We start from the raw sequence: 20,625 nt of genomic DNA, 5'->3' as shown, positions 1-20,625 counted from the left end.
GTAGAGACAGGGTTTCACCATGTTGGCCAGGCTGGTCTCAAACTCCTGATCTCAGGTGATCCACCTGCCTCGGCCTCCTAAAGTGCTGAGATTACAGTCATGAGCCACCGCGCCTTGTCAGATACAATATTATGTTTTGACAGGTTTATTTTTTTTCTAACAGCTTTTTGAATATATTATTTCACTCCCTTCTGGCCTACAATGTGTTTGCTGATAAGTTTACTGATAATCTTATGGAAGTTCCCTTTTATGTGATGAATCATAATTTAGAAAGTAACTTTCCAGAATACTGTAGTGGGATATAGTCATCCAGTGTCATAAACTGGAAAGGGAACACATGAATCTAACTTCTTTTTAATCAAAAATCACTCAAGTCTCCTTACTTAACACAGTTCCCTCAGACCAATGGCAGAGATAACTGTCTGTGTTGTTTCTGGAGCCTTCTGAGGATACTTTATTGTAAATTGGGCTTGCAGCTTTATCCACTACTATGATAACACTGTCTTAATCATCTACTAACCAACTTTCAAATTTTGTTGCTATTATCATATCTCTTGTTCTTCATTATTCTTCTGGGTTATTATTTTTAATTTAATTTTCATTATTTTATTTGGGATTATAAAGGAGATATAAGCATCTATAGAATTAGTTATCTTAAGTGTTAATATTTCCATGTAGACTCAAGTGAGGACTTTTTTTTACAACTCAATATTATTTTCTATGGTGTCAATAAAATATATTATGTATTTCATTTCCAGGGTCTCTATTATCAGTTCATTACCAAAAAGAAGCCATTTAGTTAAAACATTCTGATTACCACTCTAGTTCTTCTTTCTATTAAGTGGTCTAGGACCACTGTTTTAGTTTGGATTGATTGATTGATTGATTGATTTTATGCTATAAAGAACTGACTGAGACTGGATAATTTATAAAGGAAAGAGGTTTTGGCTCCTTGTTACTTTTGCAGATTTCTGTAGCCTGCTTGAATTTCTCCTCAGAAAATGGGGTTTTCTTTTCTATTTCATTGTCAGACTGAAAATTTTCCAAACTTTATGCTCTGCTTCCTTTTAAACATACATTCCAATTCCAAACCATCTCTTTGTGAATGCATAAAACTGAATGCTTTTAAGAGCACCCAAGACACTTCTTGGATGCTTTGCTTCTTAGAAAGTTCTTCCACCAGATACCGTAAATCATCTCTCTCAAGTTCAAATGTCCACAGATCTCCAGGGCAGGGGCAAAATGCCACCTGTCTTTTTGCTAAAGCATAGCAAGAGTCACCTTTGTTCCAGTTCCTGACAAGTTCATCATCTCCATTTGAGAACACCTCAACCTGGATTCATTTTCCATATCACCATCAGCATTTTGGTCAAAGCCATTCAACAAGTCTCTAGGAAGTTCCAAACTTTTCTACATTTTCCTGTCTTCTGAGCCCTCCAAACTGTTCTCAACCTCTGCCTGTTACCCAGTTCCAAAGTCGCTGTGACCTTTCTAGGTATCTTTATAGCAGCACCCTACTCTCTGCGGTACCAATTTACTGTATTAGTTTGCTTTCATACTGCTATGAACAGCTGCCTGAAACTGGGTAATGTATAAAGGAAAGAAGTTTAATTGACTCACAGTTCAGCATGGCTGGGGAGGCCTCAGGAAACTGACAATCATGGCAGAAGATGAAGGGGAAGCAAGGTACCTTCTTCAGAAGGTGGCAGGAAGAGTGCCAGATGAAAAAGAAACAGCCCCTTATAAAACCATCAGATCTAATGAGAACTCACTCAGTATTATGAAAACACCATGGGGGAAACTGCCCTCATGATTCAGTTACCTCCACCTGGGTTTTCCCTTGACAAATGGGGATTATGGGGATTAAGGCATTACAATACAAGATGAGATCTCGGTAGGGAAACAAAGCCTAACCACATAGGCTACCTTGCCACTTATAATTAACTGCTGTCATTTGTCCTTTGCCACAATGTGTTTCCATTATTATTTCTGGAATTTTTAAAACAATTTTAATGGCAGAATCCTCCATTTTCATCCATGACTTAAAGAAGAAATTACTAGAGAACTCTTCATAGACACTAGTTTTCTTCACACCAATACATTTGTCATTACATAGTGAAACGGGGTGTCATCTGACACCTTCACAGATATTTTGAGGTAAGTTGTTGATTTGTATTTGGTAAAAGTCCTTCACTACTTCTATCTTCTTAAGTCTTAGACTCCTTCTAATTTTCAACAAATAATATCTGGCATCTCAACTTCATTTAGCATAGGTATGAAATACACACTCTAATCATTCACTTTAGCAAACAATTTGCACCATTCCCACTCTTGAATTTATGTGTTTAAAGAGTAATTTTAAGTACTTCCATATAAAAAAATAGTTCCATCTAAGTTTGACTTATTTCCTCCTTAGCCTGAGCCTCTTTCTTCTACTTTGGTGCCAGACTTTGTTCTGTTCCCCTGGGACATACTCTTATCTAACTCTTTTAATAGGTCAGGACATTTGTCTCAATGCAACCATGACAGAGGGTGTAGAATTCCTACTGCAAGGTAATACTCTTGGATTTGGATAAAGATATGTGTTGTTTCAAATAAAATTATAATGGGTGCATAAGACAAGGGGAACAGATCCGTTTTTGTTGTCAACAAAAGGTTCAGAAGGATTCTTTAGTTTGCTTTATTCATAGTGTTCCCAATTTTCACTGAAAATGCAATTCCAATTCTCCGTGTTCAATGTTGTTCCAATTAATACCTTGATGGTCACATAGTATTTATTGTGAAGCTGCAAAATTAATCTAGGCTTTAAACGGCAATTTGAAGGGACAGATTCTGCATCTGATTTTTTTGCAATATGAGACTTATGGTTAAATGATCGAAGGAAATTACAGAAGCTTCTTGGTCAAGTGAAAATTTTTAAACTGAAAATTTAAAATCATGCGTTTGTAATTTTCTTTCCTTAAATTGTGTGTGTTACTAATCACCAGTTCACTCCACAGACCTCCATATTTTTTCTTTTGTTAACGAAATGGCTTATTACAGAGGCCACACACTTTACTAAAGTATGCCTTTTTAATACCCTTTATTTCAGGCAACCACAGTGATAATGTAAGTACCCAAGTGCCTAAGACATCAACACATGGTAATGACTACCAGTAGCCATATACCAGTGTTAACAAAATTCTGGCTGTTTTCAAAATCATCCATCTCTGAAATAAAAAACCCAGATTTTTTATTTCTTGTGTATCTGTAGCTTGCAACAGCACTGTACAATGACTCCGTCAGGCAGATCTGTCAGTACTGAAAAGACAATTCACTCTAGCTAATTTTAAGGAGACATAATTGCTATTATAAATTAAGTTATTAATCTAATATTAGGAGATCTGGGAGACAGGAATACATACTAAATTAAATATTCAGGAAACTCTTCCATTGCCACACTACAGAATGAAGCTATCAAATAGAGGAGCCTACTTTGTGTAAGAAACTGTGAAATATAAAAGCTGCCTGTTGAGATAAGAAGATGTCATCACTGCTTCTGGTCCCAGAGTCACATCCACCATGACCTGATTCATATCAGCAAAACTGATGCATTTTGCCTTCCTCATTGTCTCCATGACTCAATTGCAAATTCAAGTCATGTACCAGTGAAACTGCTTAACAGAATATAAATCATATCTAGAATCCTAGTATACTGGAAGACAGTTAGAGGGAATCTTGAGCAAACCAATCTAAATTATCTGCTTCATCTGATCGCTTCAGAAAAAAAAAAGAGAGAAAAAAGCATATTGAGTCAGTTTACAGGTAATTCAGCTGGATATGTCAGCACGGTGTCAAAGTAAGCTTCTCTGTCATTACAGCCTTACCAAGCACTGGCACTAAAGAATACTAGAGCAGGGAAATTCTCACAGTAAGTAGAACTAGAAATTCTCTACCTTATTTGCTTTATGCCTAAAAGAATAATTGCTCTGAGGTCAATATCTGTACCAGTTCCTATCATGTATCTGATGGTCAGGACTTAGGTCAGAAATTTGGAATGGCAGAAGCTGAAAAACTGGAATTAAAAGGCTGAGCTGTACATACTGGGCCACAAAGCTGCATATGTACATAATTTACGTTAATGCTTTTCAAATGGTGTTAGGATACTATATAAAAGATACGTGACTGTGTTTTACTGCTGCTACTGTAGCTCCAATCTTATATCTTAATATTCTCCCAGGAGTGATTTACTGCTTCCAAAGTTGGGAAATCATTTTTTAAATGCTTATACCTCTTGACAGAAACCATATTTACCTTAATATAATGTTTCAGATGTCAAAACACTGGGAGGGAGAGGAGTGGTGCATGGCATTTACTAATAAAATAACTTACATGGTAGGGTGAACATTCACTGTAGGCCAGACATTGTCCTAAGTGCTTCACATATTTTACTTATCTAATATACACAGCATTCTGTTAATATTCTGTTCTGCCCAGCCTGAAAAGGCAGGATGGATACTCCTACATCGAAAATTCAGTTCAGATGTTGTGACTGATGTTGCTACATGCTCACACCAGGAGGATAGGAAAAGGTTTTCTGCAAATATAATTGAGTCTGAAGGAACACGAAGGTCTCTCAAAATGTCTTGAAACTGCAAAGAAGGAAGAATGGCTTAAGATTATTTTATGAATAGGGGTGCGACTGGGGGTAAGAGCTCCTCTGCATGGGCAGGGGCTTAGATGATGTGATTCTTTCATCAGCAGCAAAGGACGGAGAACCTAGACTTTCTCATCAGCTTGTGCATGTGTGGGGAACAAGGAAAAGAAGGTGGTGCAAAATTAAAAACTGATAGCAGTCAACTATGAAAACATGGTTACAGATTCTTTATTATGCTTCATCCTTGCTTTTTGACTGCTGACTGTAACATGCCATGTTGCATTTAATTGAATTTGGATATGTTTAAATCAGCCAATACGATGCTCTATGATGCCTGCATCCTGAGGCGAGTAAGGAAGGTGAAAGTTCCCACTGAATGCCTGATTAAGATCTCAGCATTGTGTCTTTCGATAAGTGAAATGAGTGCCTTGGTCACATCAATAATATTTAGAACTCTGAAATAGACAAATGTGTTTTGGTGAGATCTCGTATTTTGGCTTTAGTATATGTAGCCTATGTAGAGATGTTTGTTATATTGATTTATATTTTGGGTTTCTATAAGGCAGGAGATTGCCAGAATTCTTCTCCTTAATGGAGGTAACTTTTATTCAGTGGCTCGAGAATCTGTAAAAATGTTCAGGTGGGGCTAATTGTTAGCCAGGGCGTCTAGCGCTGACAGCTGCCTGAGGTTTGGCCAATTGTGTCATTTGGGTCTGGTCTTTGATCAGAAAATTCTCATTTATGGGATGAAAAGCAGAAGGAATGAAAAGCAGCCACTCTGCACTGAGTTCTATCACATTCATGGGTTCAATACGATCCACAAAGTGTAAGAACTCATTCAAGTAATCTCAAGAAACTCCCCAGGTAGCCATGAGGTGTGGCAAAAGCTTACTCCTTCAACACCATGGAATCTGACAAAATACTAAACTGAGGGGAGGCCAACCACTTCCCATAAAAGGGATATACCGGAAGGTACAGGTTTGGTCCATCTGGTATCAAGGAGGCCTTGGCGGCCATGCAGAATGTGTGAGTCATTGCTTCCATGACCCGAGGCACACAGAACAGCAGGGTAGGGAGACTCACAAGTTCAGGGACTGTGAGAGCTTCTTTTTCCAGGAGAACATAGTGTGCAGCCAGCAACCGCCTCTCTAAGAGCATATATCATGGGAAAAGAAAGATAATGTTGGGTGGGGCAGGGGGAGGATTCCTCGCACATGGGAGGGTTAAGGGAGACAACTGGAAGATATTCAAAAAAAGCAAAGGGAAGGAAAAATGATTACAGAAAAACAAACAAAACAGGGATAGAAGGATCAATGGTATGAAAAGGATAGAATGATGTACCAAAGTTTTTTTTTAAAAAAGAGGGTCATTTAGTACAGGAATGTCCTGAAAGATAATGTTCAACATGAGTAGAAATAATTTTATTAGAAGTGGTAGATGTGGAAATAGGTTTTGATTTGAGGTATAAATGTTGAATAAGCAATTTAAGAATAAAAAGATAAAAATCAAATTATATTTAAGAAGGACATGGATTTCAGTAAAGATTCCTTGTATTTTTTTCTTTTTGGGGTGTATATATTTTAAAATAAGTTTTATTGTGTATATTTAAGGTATACAACATGATGTTATGATACATTTTTTATTACTTACAAAAATTAAAAAAATTAATGTTTGCTTTAGACATATAGAAAATACAAATTAGAAATTATTATGAATTCTATTCTCAAACTTAAACACTGCTAACAATTTGTATATATCTTTCCTGAAATACATTCTCATTTATGGAATCCTATTACATATACTGCTCTGAAAACAGATACTTCTGACAAGCTATGAGGGCCAGTAGATACTAATACATTATCATTTCAACATACTTTTATTTTGTTAGACTTACAAAATATATATATTTTTTAATTTCTCCTTCCTGTGTTTTTGTGATAATAATTATTTATATATCAAACCTATTAGCCTATTTTCCCCATTATTCACTTAGAAAAAAATTAACAGAGTGCATATACACCCACATATGCTGAGGTGATAATTTTTTTTTCACTGCAAGGAGCTGTGAATGCTTATAAACTGAAAATAAAGATCCAGAAATGAAAATTACTCTTGGTAGAAGCAATAAAATACATGCAGTTAGGTCTCTGAGGGAACAGGTGAAATTCTGATTCATGAAATAAAGGAAAAGACTAGGCTTAGATAGAAAGAGGATATTATTTTACTGAAAGGTGAGAAACAGAAGAAAAATGTAAGTGGTTACATGTGCATACAAAAACTTGAGAGGATACTTGAAAACAATATTCTCTGCAAATAGCAGTTACATAGTTAGGATAGATATCTGAGGAAAAGTGAAATTTTATTGTTGGTAGACAGGAAAAAGGTAGGAAGAAACAAGAAAACTGGCAATTAAAATGAAACGAGAAGTCATGGGATAAGATGCACTTGAAGCTTCACAAACCCACAAAACGAAACGTTGCTTTTGATTTTTCAAAGTGTTTCGAGGACCTAGATTTAGGAACATTGATACAGTTTATAGGTGAAGGAGCACAACACAATTTTTCTCTTTGGAGTATAGTCTGGAGAACAGTTGATGTGATATAAATGTAGTCAAGGCCAGAAAAAGGAGAAAATGAAAAAAAGAAGATTATAGGATTGGGAGAATGAAGGAAAGACAGAATTTAAAAGTGGGATGCTTTCATCCATAAATATAGAAAAATAAGTATGCAGCAGAAAGGAATTTTATGGCCTTCCAGACGCTGGGTAAATTAATATGTCGTGGAGCTTATAAAAAAAAGGAAATAATCACAGATCAAAATATTTGGTTTAAATGTTGAGCAACACTCTGTTTCAGCAACCGTAAAAACTAAATTTTAAAAATCAGATGTGTAAAAACATGTAAGAGTCAAGGAAACAATAAAGACAAGATGAGCAAGAATTCCAGAGAAGGAAGGTTTCTTTCTAGGTGAGCTGGCAATCACCAGGTATTTTGTTCCTAGGAGTACTGCAGAATCTAGTCATGAGCTGATCTGGTGCGCCCAGACAGACTCCACTTGAAAGGGAGAGAAACCAGTAGAGCTTGTGGTAATCACTCGGAGCTAGCTGCCATTTGAACATGGAAACCACGAGGCCAAACTCATAATCATATTTTCCTTTGCCCAAAACACAACCCTTATTTTAGGCTGTGGGTGAAGTGTTTGGTTAGAAGCTAAAAGATGAAGTTTTCTGCAGTCTCATAGTGCTTGGCAAGCAAAGGCCCCACAGAGGGAGGGATTCTGCCACAAGCACATGGCTAGTCTTCCTGTCCAGGCACTTGCCAGAGTTTGAAGCTGCCTGAAACAGGAAATTAAGAGCTAAACTCAAAAATTCCAAAGGGAACAACTAAATCTCTTTCATTCTTCCCGGGATGAACAGCCACAGCACCACACACTGCTGAATCCAATGTCCAGGACACCTTCACTTAAGGGACAGAAGTGAATCCCCCTCTGACCAAGGTTAGTGTTAACGTAATCAGCAAAACAAATGATATTTAGTACAATTAATCTTATTGTAAAATGCAAGTAATAAAACCAACCTCATTAACTTTTGTAAAAATTAAATGAGAAAAATATTGTGTGTGTGTATATATATATATACACACATGTATACATATACATGTATCTGTAAGCATATATATGTTTAAATAGAAGGATAGTTCTTATCAGGAGAGCTCTGCCTCCTAACCTAAATACCTCTAAAGGCCCAACCTCCTAACACCATCATATTGGGAATTAGGTTTAAACATATAAATTTGGGGGAAGCACAAAGATTCAGACGATGACACAGACTGACCTAACAAAAGCACAGCGAGGTTTCCAAAGATGAGTATTGAAGAACCTGGACAATGTAAGATTCACACTTCATTCTAAAGAAAGACTCTTTCAATGAATTATATCCAAATAAATATCTTCGAATTCCTTAGAAATTAATAGGACACTGGGCGCAGTGGCTCACACCTGTAATCCCAGCACTTTGGGAAGCCGAGGCAGGTGGATCCCTTGAGGTCAGGAGTTCCAGACCAGCCTGTCCAATGTAATGAAACCCCGTCTCTACTAAAAATATAAAAATTAGCTGGGCGGATGTGTTGTGCACCTGTAATCCCAGCTACTAGGGAGGCGGAGTCAGGAGAATCATGTGAACCCAAGAGACAGAGGTTGCAGTGAGCTGAGATCACGCCCCTGCACTCCAGCTTGGGCGACAGAACAAGACTCTGTCACAAATAAATAAATAAATAAAGTTTGTTTTAAATGTGTGTAGCAAAATGTACAGGCATACCTCCTTTCATTTCACTTTGCTTTATTGCACTTCACATATTTTGAATTATTTACCGGTTGAAGATCTGTGGCAACCCTGCTTCCAGCAAGTCTATCAGTGCCATTTTTCTAACGTGTTTACTTTGTGTTAATATGTTTACTTTGTGTTTCTATTACACATTTTGGTAATCTGAGCAATATTTCCAACGTTTTTGTTATTATTACATCTGCTATACTGATTTGTAATTAGTGCTCTTTGACATTACTATTGCAGTTGTTCTGCATGCCATATCCATGCCCATATAGGATGACAAGCTTAATTGATAACTGCTGTATGTGTTCTGACTGCTTCAGAGAATGATCATTGCCCCACCTCTCTACTTCCCTCTCTACTTCTTCACAGGCCACCTATTTTATTCCTAAAGACACAGCAGTATTGGAATGAGGACAGTTAATAACCCTACAATGGCCTCTAAATGCTCAAGGGACAGAAAGAGTTGCATATCTCTAACTCTAAATAAAAAATTAGAAATAATTAAGATTAGTCAGAAAGACATGTAGAACGCCAAGATAGGCCACGAGCTAGACCTCTTGTGACAAAAAGTGAGCCAAGTCTTCAATGCAAAGGAAAAGTTCTTGAAGGAAAGTATAAGTGCTACTTCAGTGAACCCAAGAGTGATAAGAAAGTGAAATGGCCTTATTACTGTATAGAGAAAGTTTTAGTGGTCTGGATAGATTAAATCAGCCCCAGCACTATCTTTAGCTAAAGACTAATACAGAAAAAGACCCTAACTCTCTGCCATTCTCTGAAGGCTGAGAGAGGTGAGGAAGCTGCAGAGGAAAATTTAAAGCTAGTGGAAGTTGGTTCATGAAGCTTTAGGGGGAAAAACAAAAAACTGCCTCTGCTAACATAAGAGTGCAAGGTGAAGCAGCAAGTGCTAATGTAGAAGCTACAGCAAGTTATCCAGAATACCTAGCTAATATAATTGATCAAGACAGATGCACTAAACAACAGATTTTTAATATAGATGAAACAGCCTTATACTGGAAGAAGATGCAATCTAAGACTTCCATAGCAAAAGAGAAGTCAATGTCTGGCTTCAAAGTCTTGAAGGATAGGTTAACCCTTGGGCTAATGCAGCTGGTGACTTTAATTTAAAACCAGTGCTCGTTTTCCATGCTGAAAATCTAAGGGCCTTTAAGAATTCTGCAAAATTCACTCTAAAATATAACAACGAAAATCCACACGACAGCACATTTGTTTACAGCTTGATTTACTGAATATTTTAAGCCAACTAGTGAGATCTACTACTCAGGAAAAAAAATAATAAAAAGATTGCTTTCAAAATATTACCACCCACTGACAATACACCTAGTCACCTAAGAGCTCTGATGGAGATGTACAAATAGATTAATGTTGTTTCTATGCCTGCAAACACAACATCCATTTTGCAGCCCATGGATCAAGAAGTAATTTTACTTTCAAGTTTTATTACCTAAGAAATAAATTTTCTAAGGCTATAGCTGCCATAGATCATGATGGATTTGATGGGTCTGGTCAAAGTAAATTGAAAACCTTCTGAAAAAGAGTCACCATTCTAGATGCCATTAAGAACATTCATGATTTGTGGGAAGAGGTCAAAATATCAACATTAACAGTAGATTGGAAGAAGCTGATTCCAACCTTCATGGTTGACTTTGAGAGAGGTTCAAGATTTTTGTGGACGAAGTAACTGCAGATGTGGTAAAAATGGCAAAATATCTAGAATTCAAAGTGGAACCTGAATATATTACTGAATTTCATCATCAAATATTAATGGATTAGAAGCTGCTTCTCATGAATGATCTAAGAAAGTGATTTCTTGAGATGGAAACTACTCCTGGTGAAGATACTGTGAACATTGTTGAAATGTCAATAAAAATTTTTGATTAGTACATAAACTTAGTTGATGAAACTGCCCCAGAGTTTGAGAGAATTTTCCCCAATTATGAAAGAAGTTCCCCATGGGACGCGGTGGCTCACACCTGTAATCCCAGCACTTTGGGAGGCCGAGTCAGGCGGATCACCTGAGGTCAGGAGTTTGAGACCAGCCTGGCCAACATGGCGAAACCCCGTCTCTACTAAAAGTTCAAAAAAGAAAAAAATTAGCTGGGTGTGGTGGCGGACGCCTGTAATCCCAGCTACTTGGGAGGCTGAGGCAGGAGAATTGCTTGAATCCAGGGGGCAGAGGTTGCAGTGAGCCGATATCGCACCATTGCACTCCAGCCTGGGTGACAAGCACGAGACTCCATCTCAAAAAACAAAGAAAGAAAGAAGTTCTACTGGCTGGGTGCAGTGGCTCACTCCTGTAATCCCAGCATTTTGGGAGGCCAAGGCAGGTGGATCACGAGGTCAGGAGATGGAGACCATCCTGGCTAAGACGGTGAAACCCCGTCTCTACTAAAAATACAAAAAATTAGCCGGGCGTGGTGGCGGGCGCCTATAGTCCCAGCTACTCAGGAGGCTGAGGCAGGAGAATGGCGTGAACCCGGAAGGCGGAGCTTGCAGTGAACCAAGATCACACCACTGCACTCCAGCCTGGGCGACAGAGCAAGATTCTGTCTCAAAAAGAAAGAAAGAAAGAAAGAAAGAGAGAGGGAGGGAGAGAGAGAGAGAAAGAAAAAGAAAGAAAGAAGTTCTACTTTAGGTAAAATATTATCAATCAGCATTACATGCTACAGAGAAATCTTTCATGAAGAGTCCATCAATGTGGCAAACATCATTATTGTCTTATTCTGGAAGTTGCCACAGCCACTCTAAGCTTTAGCCACCACTACCCTAATCAGTCAGCAGCCAATAGCATCAAGGTGAAATCATCCACAAAAGAAAAGATTATTATTGCTGGAAGTTCAGTTGATTGTCAGCACTTTTTACAATAAAATATTTTAAAATTAAGATATGAATATTGTTTTCTAGATTATGCCATAGTACATTTAATGTACCACAGTATAGGGTAAATATCATTTTTGTATGCGTTCAGGAACCAAAAAATTTGTATGACTCTTTTTATTTTGACATTGGCTTTATTGTGGTGATCTGAACTGAACCTGCAATATCTCTGAGGTATGCCCGTATGGTGTTTTTATTTCGTTGTATGTTTCATCATGTACAGCAGTATTTTATTAGTGTAATAGTAAGGACCCAAACAAAGAGTCTCTCCCATTATTATTGTTCCTCAGTTGGGCAAATCCTTTAGAATAATTGCTGTTGAAATTATGGTTTTTAGATTTGAGTAGCTCCCTCCAAAGAACCTAGGTATATCACAATACATATATGTATTATTAGGTCACCTGTGACCTAATAAAAATGAAGCCAAAACATATAAGTTGTAAAAAAGGATTTATGATCTATGTCATTTCTGTGAATGACATGCTTTATAGTTGGAGACTCAGAGTAAGTAGAAGCAATGAAATATCCCTGATCCCTTCAGACTTGTTTTTTTCAACTGCACAAGTAAAAATGCTTTGTTTTTAAATTTTTGTCAACTACATTTATCTAATATTCCAAGAGGCAGGACATTGATGAATGAAGCAATTGAAACAAGGAAACGGTTTTTTCTTTTTTAAAAAATAATTTCAACTTTTATTTTAGATTCAGGGGTTACATATGCAGGTTTGGTACCTGGGTATATTGCATGGTGCTGAGGTTTAGGGTAAGACTGATCCTGTCACCCAGGCACTGAGCATACATAGTACCCAACAGGTACTTTTTCAATTTGTCCCCTTCCCTACCTCCCTCCATAGTCCCCAGTTTTTTTGTTGCCATTTCTGTGTGCATGAGTACCCAAAGTTTAGCTCCCACGTATGAGAATCTGTGGTATTTTATTTTCTGTTACTGCATTCATTCACTTAGGATAATGGCCTCCAGCTACATCCATGTTGCTGCAAAGGACATGATTTCATTCATTGTTATACCATGGAGTATATGTACCATATTGTCTTTATCCAATCTGCCATCGATGGGCACCTAGGTTGATCCCACGTCTTTGCTATTGTGAATAGTGTTGCAATGAATATGTGAGTTCATGTGTCTTTTTGGTAGAATGATTTACTTTCTTTTGAATATATATCTAGCACTAGCATGAAATGTTTTTCTATTTGTTTGTATCATCTGTGATTTCTTTCAGCTGTGTTTTGTATTCCTCCTTATAGAGACCTTTCAACTCCTTGGTTAGATGTATTTCTAGGTGGTTTTTTTGGTGGCTATTCTAAATGGATTGCATTCTTGATTGTATTCTTAGCTTGAATATTATTGATGTACAGAAATGCTAGTGGTTTGTACATAGAGTTTGTATCCTGAAACTTCACTGAAGTTACTTCTTCATTCCAGGAGCCATTTGGCCTTGTCTTTAGGGTTTTCTAGGTACAGAACTATATTGTCTGTGAGGAGAAGTAGTTTGTCTTCTTTTCCTATTTAGATGTCTTTTATTTCTTTCTCTTTCCTGGTTGCACTGGCTAGCACTTCCAGTACTATGTTGAATAGAGTGGTGAAAATGGTCATTCTTGTCTTGTTCTAATTCTCGGAAGGTGACTGCTTCTAACTTTTGCCCATTCAGTATGATGTTGGCTGTGGGTTTGTCATAGATGGCTGTTATTATTTTCAGCCATGTCCCTTAAATGCTTAGTCTGTTGAGGGTTTTTATCATGAAAAGATGTTGCATTTTGTCAAAAGATTTTTCCACATCAAGGGTATCAGAATCATGATATCTGATATTTAAGGCTAGAGCAGCATGGATAATTGGTTCCAGACAATGCTTTGAGATTCGACAACTATATATTGGAAATGAAGTGTCTTCATATTACCATCCTAATACAGCTTACAGCTACAGAAAATAATGTTCACACCTACTTTCAAATGAATGCTTGAGTTAGATAAAAATAATTTGCATGAAATGAGTAAATAATTTTTTCATTGCTAGCATGTATATACAATATATATAACATTATCGCTTGTTTTCTATTTTTATTGACTTAATATGAATTATTATTTGTGCCATGGCCATTTTGTTTTTGCTCTTGTATACAGAAATGTTATAAAATACATTATGAACAGACTTACATGAATGGCATTCAACATATATTTTACCTGCCTATCCATTAACTCTGTGAAATCAGCACCTTAGATTCTTAGTTTCATTTTATAACTATAATCTAACTCCAAAAGCAACATAAATGTTCTCATATATTTAAATCTATCATGCTTAAAATTGAATCCAGAATTCTGGAACAGAGAAATAAGTAGGGTGATTTCTGAAAGCACAGAGACCAAAATTATACTACACACACACACACACACACACACACACACATATCATAATCCAAAAGGGGTTAAAACTACTTATAATTGGCAGGGCATGGTGGCTCACGCCTGTAATCCCAGCACTTTGGGAGGCTGAGGTGGGCGGATCACTAGGTCAGGAGATTGAGACCATCCTGGCTAACATGGTGAAAACCCATCTCTACTAAAAATACAAAAAAAAAAAATAGCCGGATGTGGTGGCGGGAGCCTGTAGTCCCAGCTACTTGGGAGGCTGAGGCAGGAGAATGGCGTGAACCCGGGAGGCAGAGCTTGCAGTGAGCCAAGATCGTGCTACTGCACTCCAGCCTGGGCGACAGGAGTGAGACTCCATCTTGGGGGAAAAAAACAAAAAAACTACTTATAATTAACAATAACACAATAAACATAAAAAAGCAAAGCGTTTTTATTTGGACACTTAAAAAATCTAGCCTGAGGGTTAGAAACTATGTGGTAAGTATGATACTTAATTTACCTTGATCATGTAACATTTGACATAAAGCAAACTCTTGTTGAAACTCAGGGGTTGCTTTTTATGGATGATCAAAGTAAGTAGTTTCTTGAGAAGGAATCTATTATTGGTGAAGATGAACTGAACATTGTGGAAAAGTCAACAAAATATTTAGAATATTGCATAAACCTAGTGGATAAAGCAGTGGCAGGGTTTGAGAGGATTTTCTCCAGTTTTAAAGGATGTTCTACTGTGGGTAGAATGCTATTAAACAGCATTGCATAGCGTGGTTCAGAGAAATATTTCATGAAAGGAAGTGTCAATTAGTGCTGCAAACTTCAACGTTGTCTTATTTTAAGAAGTTGTCACAGCCACCTCAACCTTTAGCAACCACCACCCTAATCAATCAGCAGCTATCAACAATGAGGCAAGAACCTCCACCAGCAATACGATTCCCACTCAATAGAGTTTCACATAATTGCTAGCATTCTTTAGCAACAGGCAATAATTTATTTCTAAATTAAAATACTTATATTGGTTTTTAGACATAATGCTATTGTACTCTTAAAAAACTACAGTATAGTGGCCGGGCGCGGTGGCTCATGCCTGTAATCCCAGCACTTTGGGAGGCCAAGGTGGGCGGATCATGAGGTCAGGAGATCGAGAGGATCCTGGCTAACACGGTGAAACCCTGTCTCTACTAAAAATACAAAAAATTAGCCTGGCGTGGTGGTGGGCGCCTGTAGTCCCAGCTACTCGGGAGGCTGAGGCAGGAGAATGGTGTGAACCCGGGAGGCAGAGCTTGCAGTGAGCCGAGATGGTGCCACGGCACTCCAGTCTGGGTGACAGAGCAAGACTCTGTCAAAAACAACAACAACAACAACAAAAAACACTACAGTATAGTGCAGGCATAACTTTTATATGGACTAGAAATAAAAAAGATTGTGACACACTTTACTGTGATATTTGCTTTATTGCAGTGGTGGGCTTAACTAGCAATATCTCTGAGGTTTTCCTGTACTTGGTTGAACATATGGCAATCACCTTATCCTTCAGGATGTTTGATTTTTGCAGGGGCAAATCTGGCAAATTAATTAGAAATATCAGTTACTAGTACTTTTGCATCCTTTAATATTTAAGGATGACATTGTTTCCTGGCAGTTTCTATGGGATTGTTATTATTTTAATTTAATACCCATTTCAGAGGCTTCAATCTAGCCGTTCTGTTTATATTAGCTCATAATCTGTGGCACAAAGAACCAAAATGGTGGGATTGTATGATTTAACAAGTATGTTTATTCTAATGCGTTTGGGGACTGGGTAAATAAATGACTACCCTGTAGTTCTGTAGATAGACCCGGTTTACCCACTGTGATCTGGGCCAAGGGTGACATTTCATTTATTACCTGATTATCATATACCATAACATATCTTCCCAGGTCAGGAGCCAATACTGAAATATTCCACCTATGAAATATATCTTATTACACTGTATATTTTGAGACTGGTTAATTAACCACAGGAGATATGTAGTGCCAATGGAACCACTGTGAGTCAGACTCAAGCCAGAATTAGCTTCAACTATCATCTAACCTGCACAAGTTGTCTCTCTGATTCATGGCCTATGTTGGATTTTAGATCATTGAAGATCAGTGTCAATTTAGAGCCAGCATCTAATAATCCCTGTATTAATCCATTTTCACATTGCTATAAAGAACTATCTGAGACTGGGTAATTTATGAAGAAAACAGGTTTAATTGACTCACAGTTCTGCAGACTGTACCGGAAGCATGGCTGGGAGACCTCAGGAAACTTACAATAATGGCAAAAGGGCGAAGGGGAAGCAGGCTCAGTCTTCACATAGTGGCAGGAGAGAGAAAGAGTGAAGGGGGAAATGCTACACACTTTTAAACAACCAGATCTTGTAAGAACTCACTGACTATCACGAGAACAGCATAGGGTAAATCCGTCCCAATGATCTAATCACCTCCTACCAGGGCCCTACCCTAATACTGGGGAGTGCAATTGAACATGAGATGTGGGTGGGGACACAGATCAGAACCATATCAACCCCTAACAGCTCTGAGCATTTCATGTCTCTAATGTATTGTGGATAGGACAAATTTACGGTGTGCATGAGGTATGTTACAGAGTACCTTCAGAGTTTCTGGATTCCCCTTTATCGAAGGTCTGTTGGTCTGTGATCTGTTTAAGTGAATGGGTAAGAAGCCATGAATCTCCACCCTATTGGTTCAACTTCTTTGTCTTCCTATTAAACTTATAATAAGCATCATTTTTATTATTTGCAAAATTTTATGGGAAGCCATAATTTAAAGTTTTTCTATTTCTTAGGTATTTCTTGACACTATAACCAATTAGCCATATACTCAGATGCCTGATGGCTTGCATTTATCCTTGCCTTTGATGGTTAACAGTACCATTTGGCCTCTATTGTGCTAGGATCCCATTATTCCCATTGATAGCTGGAAACTCAATTCATTGCAACATCGTCCAATATCCCCTATGACCTACAGAAGTCAGTAAGCTCAGGTGACTGTACATCTTTTCAAGGATGCTCAAATGCCTTTGGAAATATTCACTCCAAATTACTCCTTTTCAGTTTGTCATCTGTTTCCTTCTGAGAAATTTACCTTTGCCTATATAAATAGGTGAGGGCAAACAACTTTTTAAAAAATTTATTTTTATAGCCTATCTTCTTCCATACTATGTTTTGTATTTCTGTGACTGGGATATTTTGAGATCTACATTGCACTCTAGGCTGGAGGTAATTAGGGCTTGTGGGTTGGGATCCTGAAGAGTTTTGGTTGTGTGGCAACTGCAGCTGGTGAAGTCCTTGGAAGTTGTTATGCAGGGATGGCAAGTTCCCTCCAATAGTGATGCAAAGACTATTTGGCTGAGGAAGGAGTTTCAAGTGTCCGGGGGTCTTACGGTTTTTAATCTTATCTGATTCTTTACAAATGTCCCCCTTCCATGTATCAAGGCCCCACTCCTTACTTGCCACTGACCTTATATTAACTAACTTCAGAGGTCAGATAGGGTTGAGATTATTATTAATGCCACAACTCTGAAACACTCAAAAGGCCCTGGGATTGCTATACATGTATCCATGCTTTCAATACAATAAATAAAGCATTCCTTTACTAATACTGTCAAGGCTTTTTAATAGTTGTTGTTGATGCTGTATTTTTGCCTTCACTTAGCACTTCAGGACTCAGACTCAGAAAGATGCCTCATAATTAATGTTAAGGTTCACTATGCAAAGATGAATTGGGAAATGGAGATCCATCCTCAGAGAAACTGAATGGTTTAGATTTAAACGTTTTGTGTCTGTGTCTTTCTTTGTCACTAGCATATAGTCGACCAAAGCACATGTTGGCATTTGAAAAAAGTGGTATGTGTCAGGAGTTTTCTCAGTCTCTTTTCATGAGGGAGGGTTTCTGTGGGTCTCCATCGGATCCAGGCTTCATGCAGTGAGCCTAACTTTAATCCTGTTTCTGGCCATGGGAAGCAAACCAGCACAACCACTGCACAATTATAGCTCAGAGATCTGTGACCTTAAAATCTTATCTCCAGTTCTTGTAGGAATTTTTCTGTCATACACAGTTCTATTTTTCTTTCTGTAGCTCAGCTGTCTTAGGTATTTTTCTTCATTGCATTTAAGTAAACATTATATGTTGAGACATAGGGGATTATTGTCAGAGCGGGAATTTACTGATCACTTTGGAGGTATGTACATACATTTTATTGATGGTTGGAAATTCATAATTTTTCATTCAGAATATTAAAATAAAATTCAGTTGCATCAATATGTTCCCATCACAATGTGACATTTGTTAACTGCATTCACCATTTATAGTTACTATTAAGATTAAATAAACTACCCAGGTTATTAGTTTTCTATTGCTGCTGTAACAAATTACTATAAACATAGTGGCTTAAAATAACCCAAATTTGTTATCTTTCAGTTTGCTATGTCAGGAGTCTGAACTAGGACTTACTGCCTAAACTCACCATACCTGTACGGCTGCATTACTTTCTAGAGGCTTTAGGGTAGAATTCATTTACTTGCCTTTTCAGCTTCTACAGGCCACCCCTAGTCCTTATCTTGTGGCCACATTCCTTTATCTTCAACACCAGCAAGATTAAGTTGTCATTTTCTCTGAGCCTCCTTCTCTCCCATCTCTCTGATTCTGACAATTCTACCCCTTCTTCCCCATGTAAGGATCCTATGATTACATTGGTTGCACTGGGGTTAGCCAAGGATAATCTTCTGATTTGAAAGTAATCAAATTAGCAAACTTAATTCCAGCTGTAACCTTAATCGCCCCTTGTCATGTAACAGAATGTAGTCACAAATTCTGGAGATTAGGACATAGATATTTTTGGGAGGCCATTATTTTTCCTATCACACTATTTTTGGGTTAGCTCTTATTAGTTTGAAACATATAAATAGGAAAATCTAAGGGTCGTTAACATTAAATCCACATTCAATATAACTTCATTTTTAACTGGAAAATTCTTACACAGATGTATCCAACAAAATATGATTTTAAGCAAAGTAATCATAGCCTCCCTGTTAGACAATCATTTTTATATATTTTCCACATTTGCAGAAGAGAGGCTTTGCAGTGGGAGAGCAGAAAATGCCAAAGAAACAATGGTTTCTTTTTTGGGGATAGCCTTTTCATCTGACATCTCTCAGAAAACTATTCCTTTTAAATCTAAATTACAGAGGACCACAATAACCTTATCCCATTGTAGTTAGTTGAATCACCAAACTGCTGCATGTTCTTCCATTAAGAAATTACTGTATTTTCTACAATTGCACCAAATGTAATTTAAGACAAAGCAAAGAATAAGGATGTATTCATTCTTTCATTCATTCATTCATGCATGCACTCAATTGTTTTTAGCGTGTATTGCAGGCCTAAGAAACTTTGCTATTTACTATGGATATTGTTATGAGAAACAAATACTTTTTATCTCACTGTAATTTCTTTCATTTTGTTTTAATCTAGGTATTAGTAATCAAACACACTTGTTGAAATCCATAAATTGTGCTTGAATTTTATTTTAATTTTTTGTTTGTTCTAGTGGTGATATTGATTTTGGTTTGCCCAACTTTGCCTATATCCAACACAGTTGATACTGTTATGTTGATCCTCCGACTGTGTTAACCATTAACACGTTTAATTATTGTTGCTTCAGTGCTTTGTGGAAAAAAATTCTATTGTATATTGAAAAATTTTTTCTGTTATTATATGATTGAGTTTTTATTCTACTTCGTTGAGTGAGAGTTCTAACTTCCTAGAGTAACATACGTAAAATAACAGTAGAGAAAACTTTATCTATGTCTATGAATATATATAACATGATTACAGCGCAATACACTGTACTGCCCGTTGAGATATTTTAATTGATTTCTCATTCTGTAAGCCACCACAAACAGCCCTCAGCACTACAGCAAAGTAGTAGAAGTTATAAAGGTCCACATATATATACCCTATTCACCTGCAGGGGAATGAATTAAATAGCACCTGAGCTCATGTGTGGCACTTGGGCAAATTTAAACTCAGGCCTAGCAAAAAAGGCCACAGAAATATAGAGATATTATTTCTTAGGAGTTAAGAATTTGGATTTTTAGGATGGAAAAATATTAGTTTAGTAGCATGCAGTAGAAATGCACAAATAAATCTTGATGATGTAATGTTTTATATAATAATATTCTCTTGCTTTGCATCAGTTTTACACGTGTGTATATCTTTGCAGAATGTTTCTTAAAAATTATTTTCTTTGTTTTATGTATAAATTATGGTTACTTTAACCATAATATTTAGTTTATTTCCCATCTATCAAGAAGGTTATATAATAATAATAACTTAGATTTCCA

The 20,625-nt window shown here is 37.2% G+C and overlaps 1 long non-coding RNA gene across 1 annotated transcript in view; it reads left to right on the top strand.

Moving 5' to 3' along the window:
• The window catches only part of LINC00375 (long intergenic non-protein coding RNA 375), an 82,971-nt gene that overhangs the window by 48,356 nt on the left and 13,990 nt on the right, over nucleotides 1-20,625 (top strand). The window lies entirely within an intron of this gene.

The sequence above is a fragment of the Homo sapiens genome, chromosome 13, assembly GCF_000001405.40.
Source record: "Homo sapiens chromosome 13, GRCh38.p14 Primary Assembly".
Lineage (NCBI taxonomy): Eukaryota > Metazoa > Chordata > Mammalia > Primates > Hominidae > Homo > Homo sapiens.
This window is presented reverse-complemented; position numbering and strand designations above follow the sequence as displayed.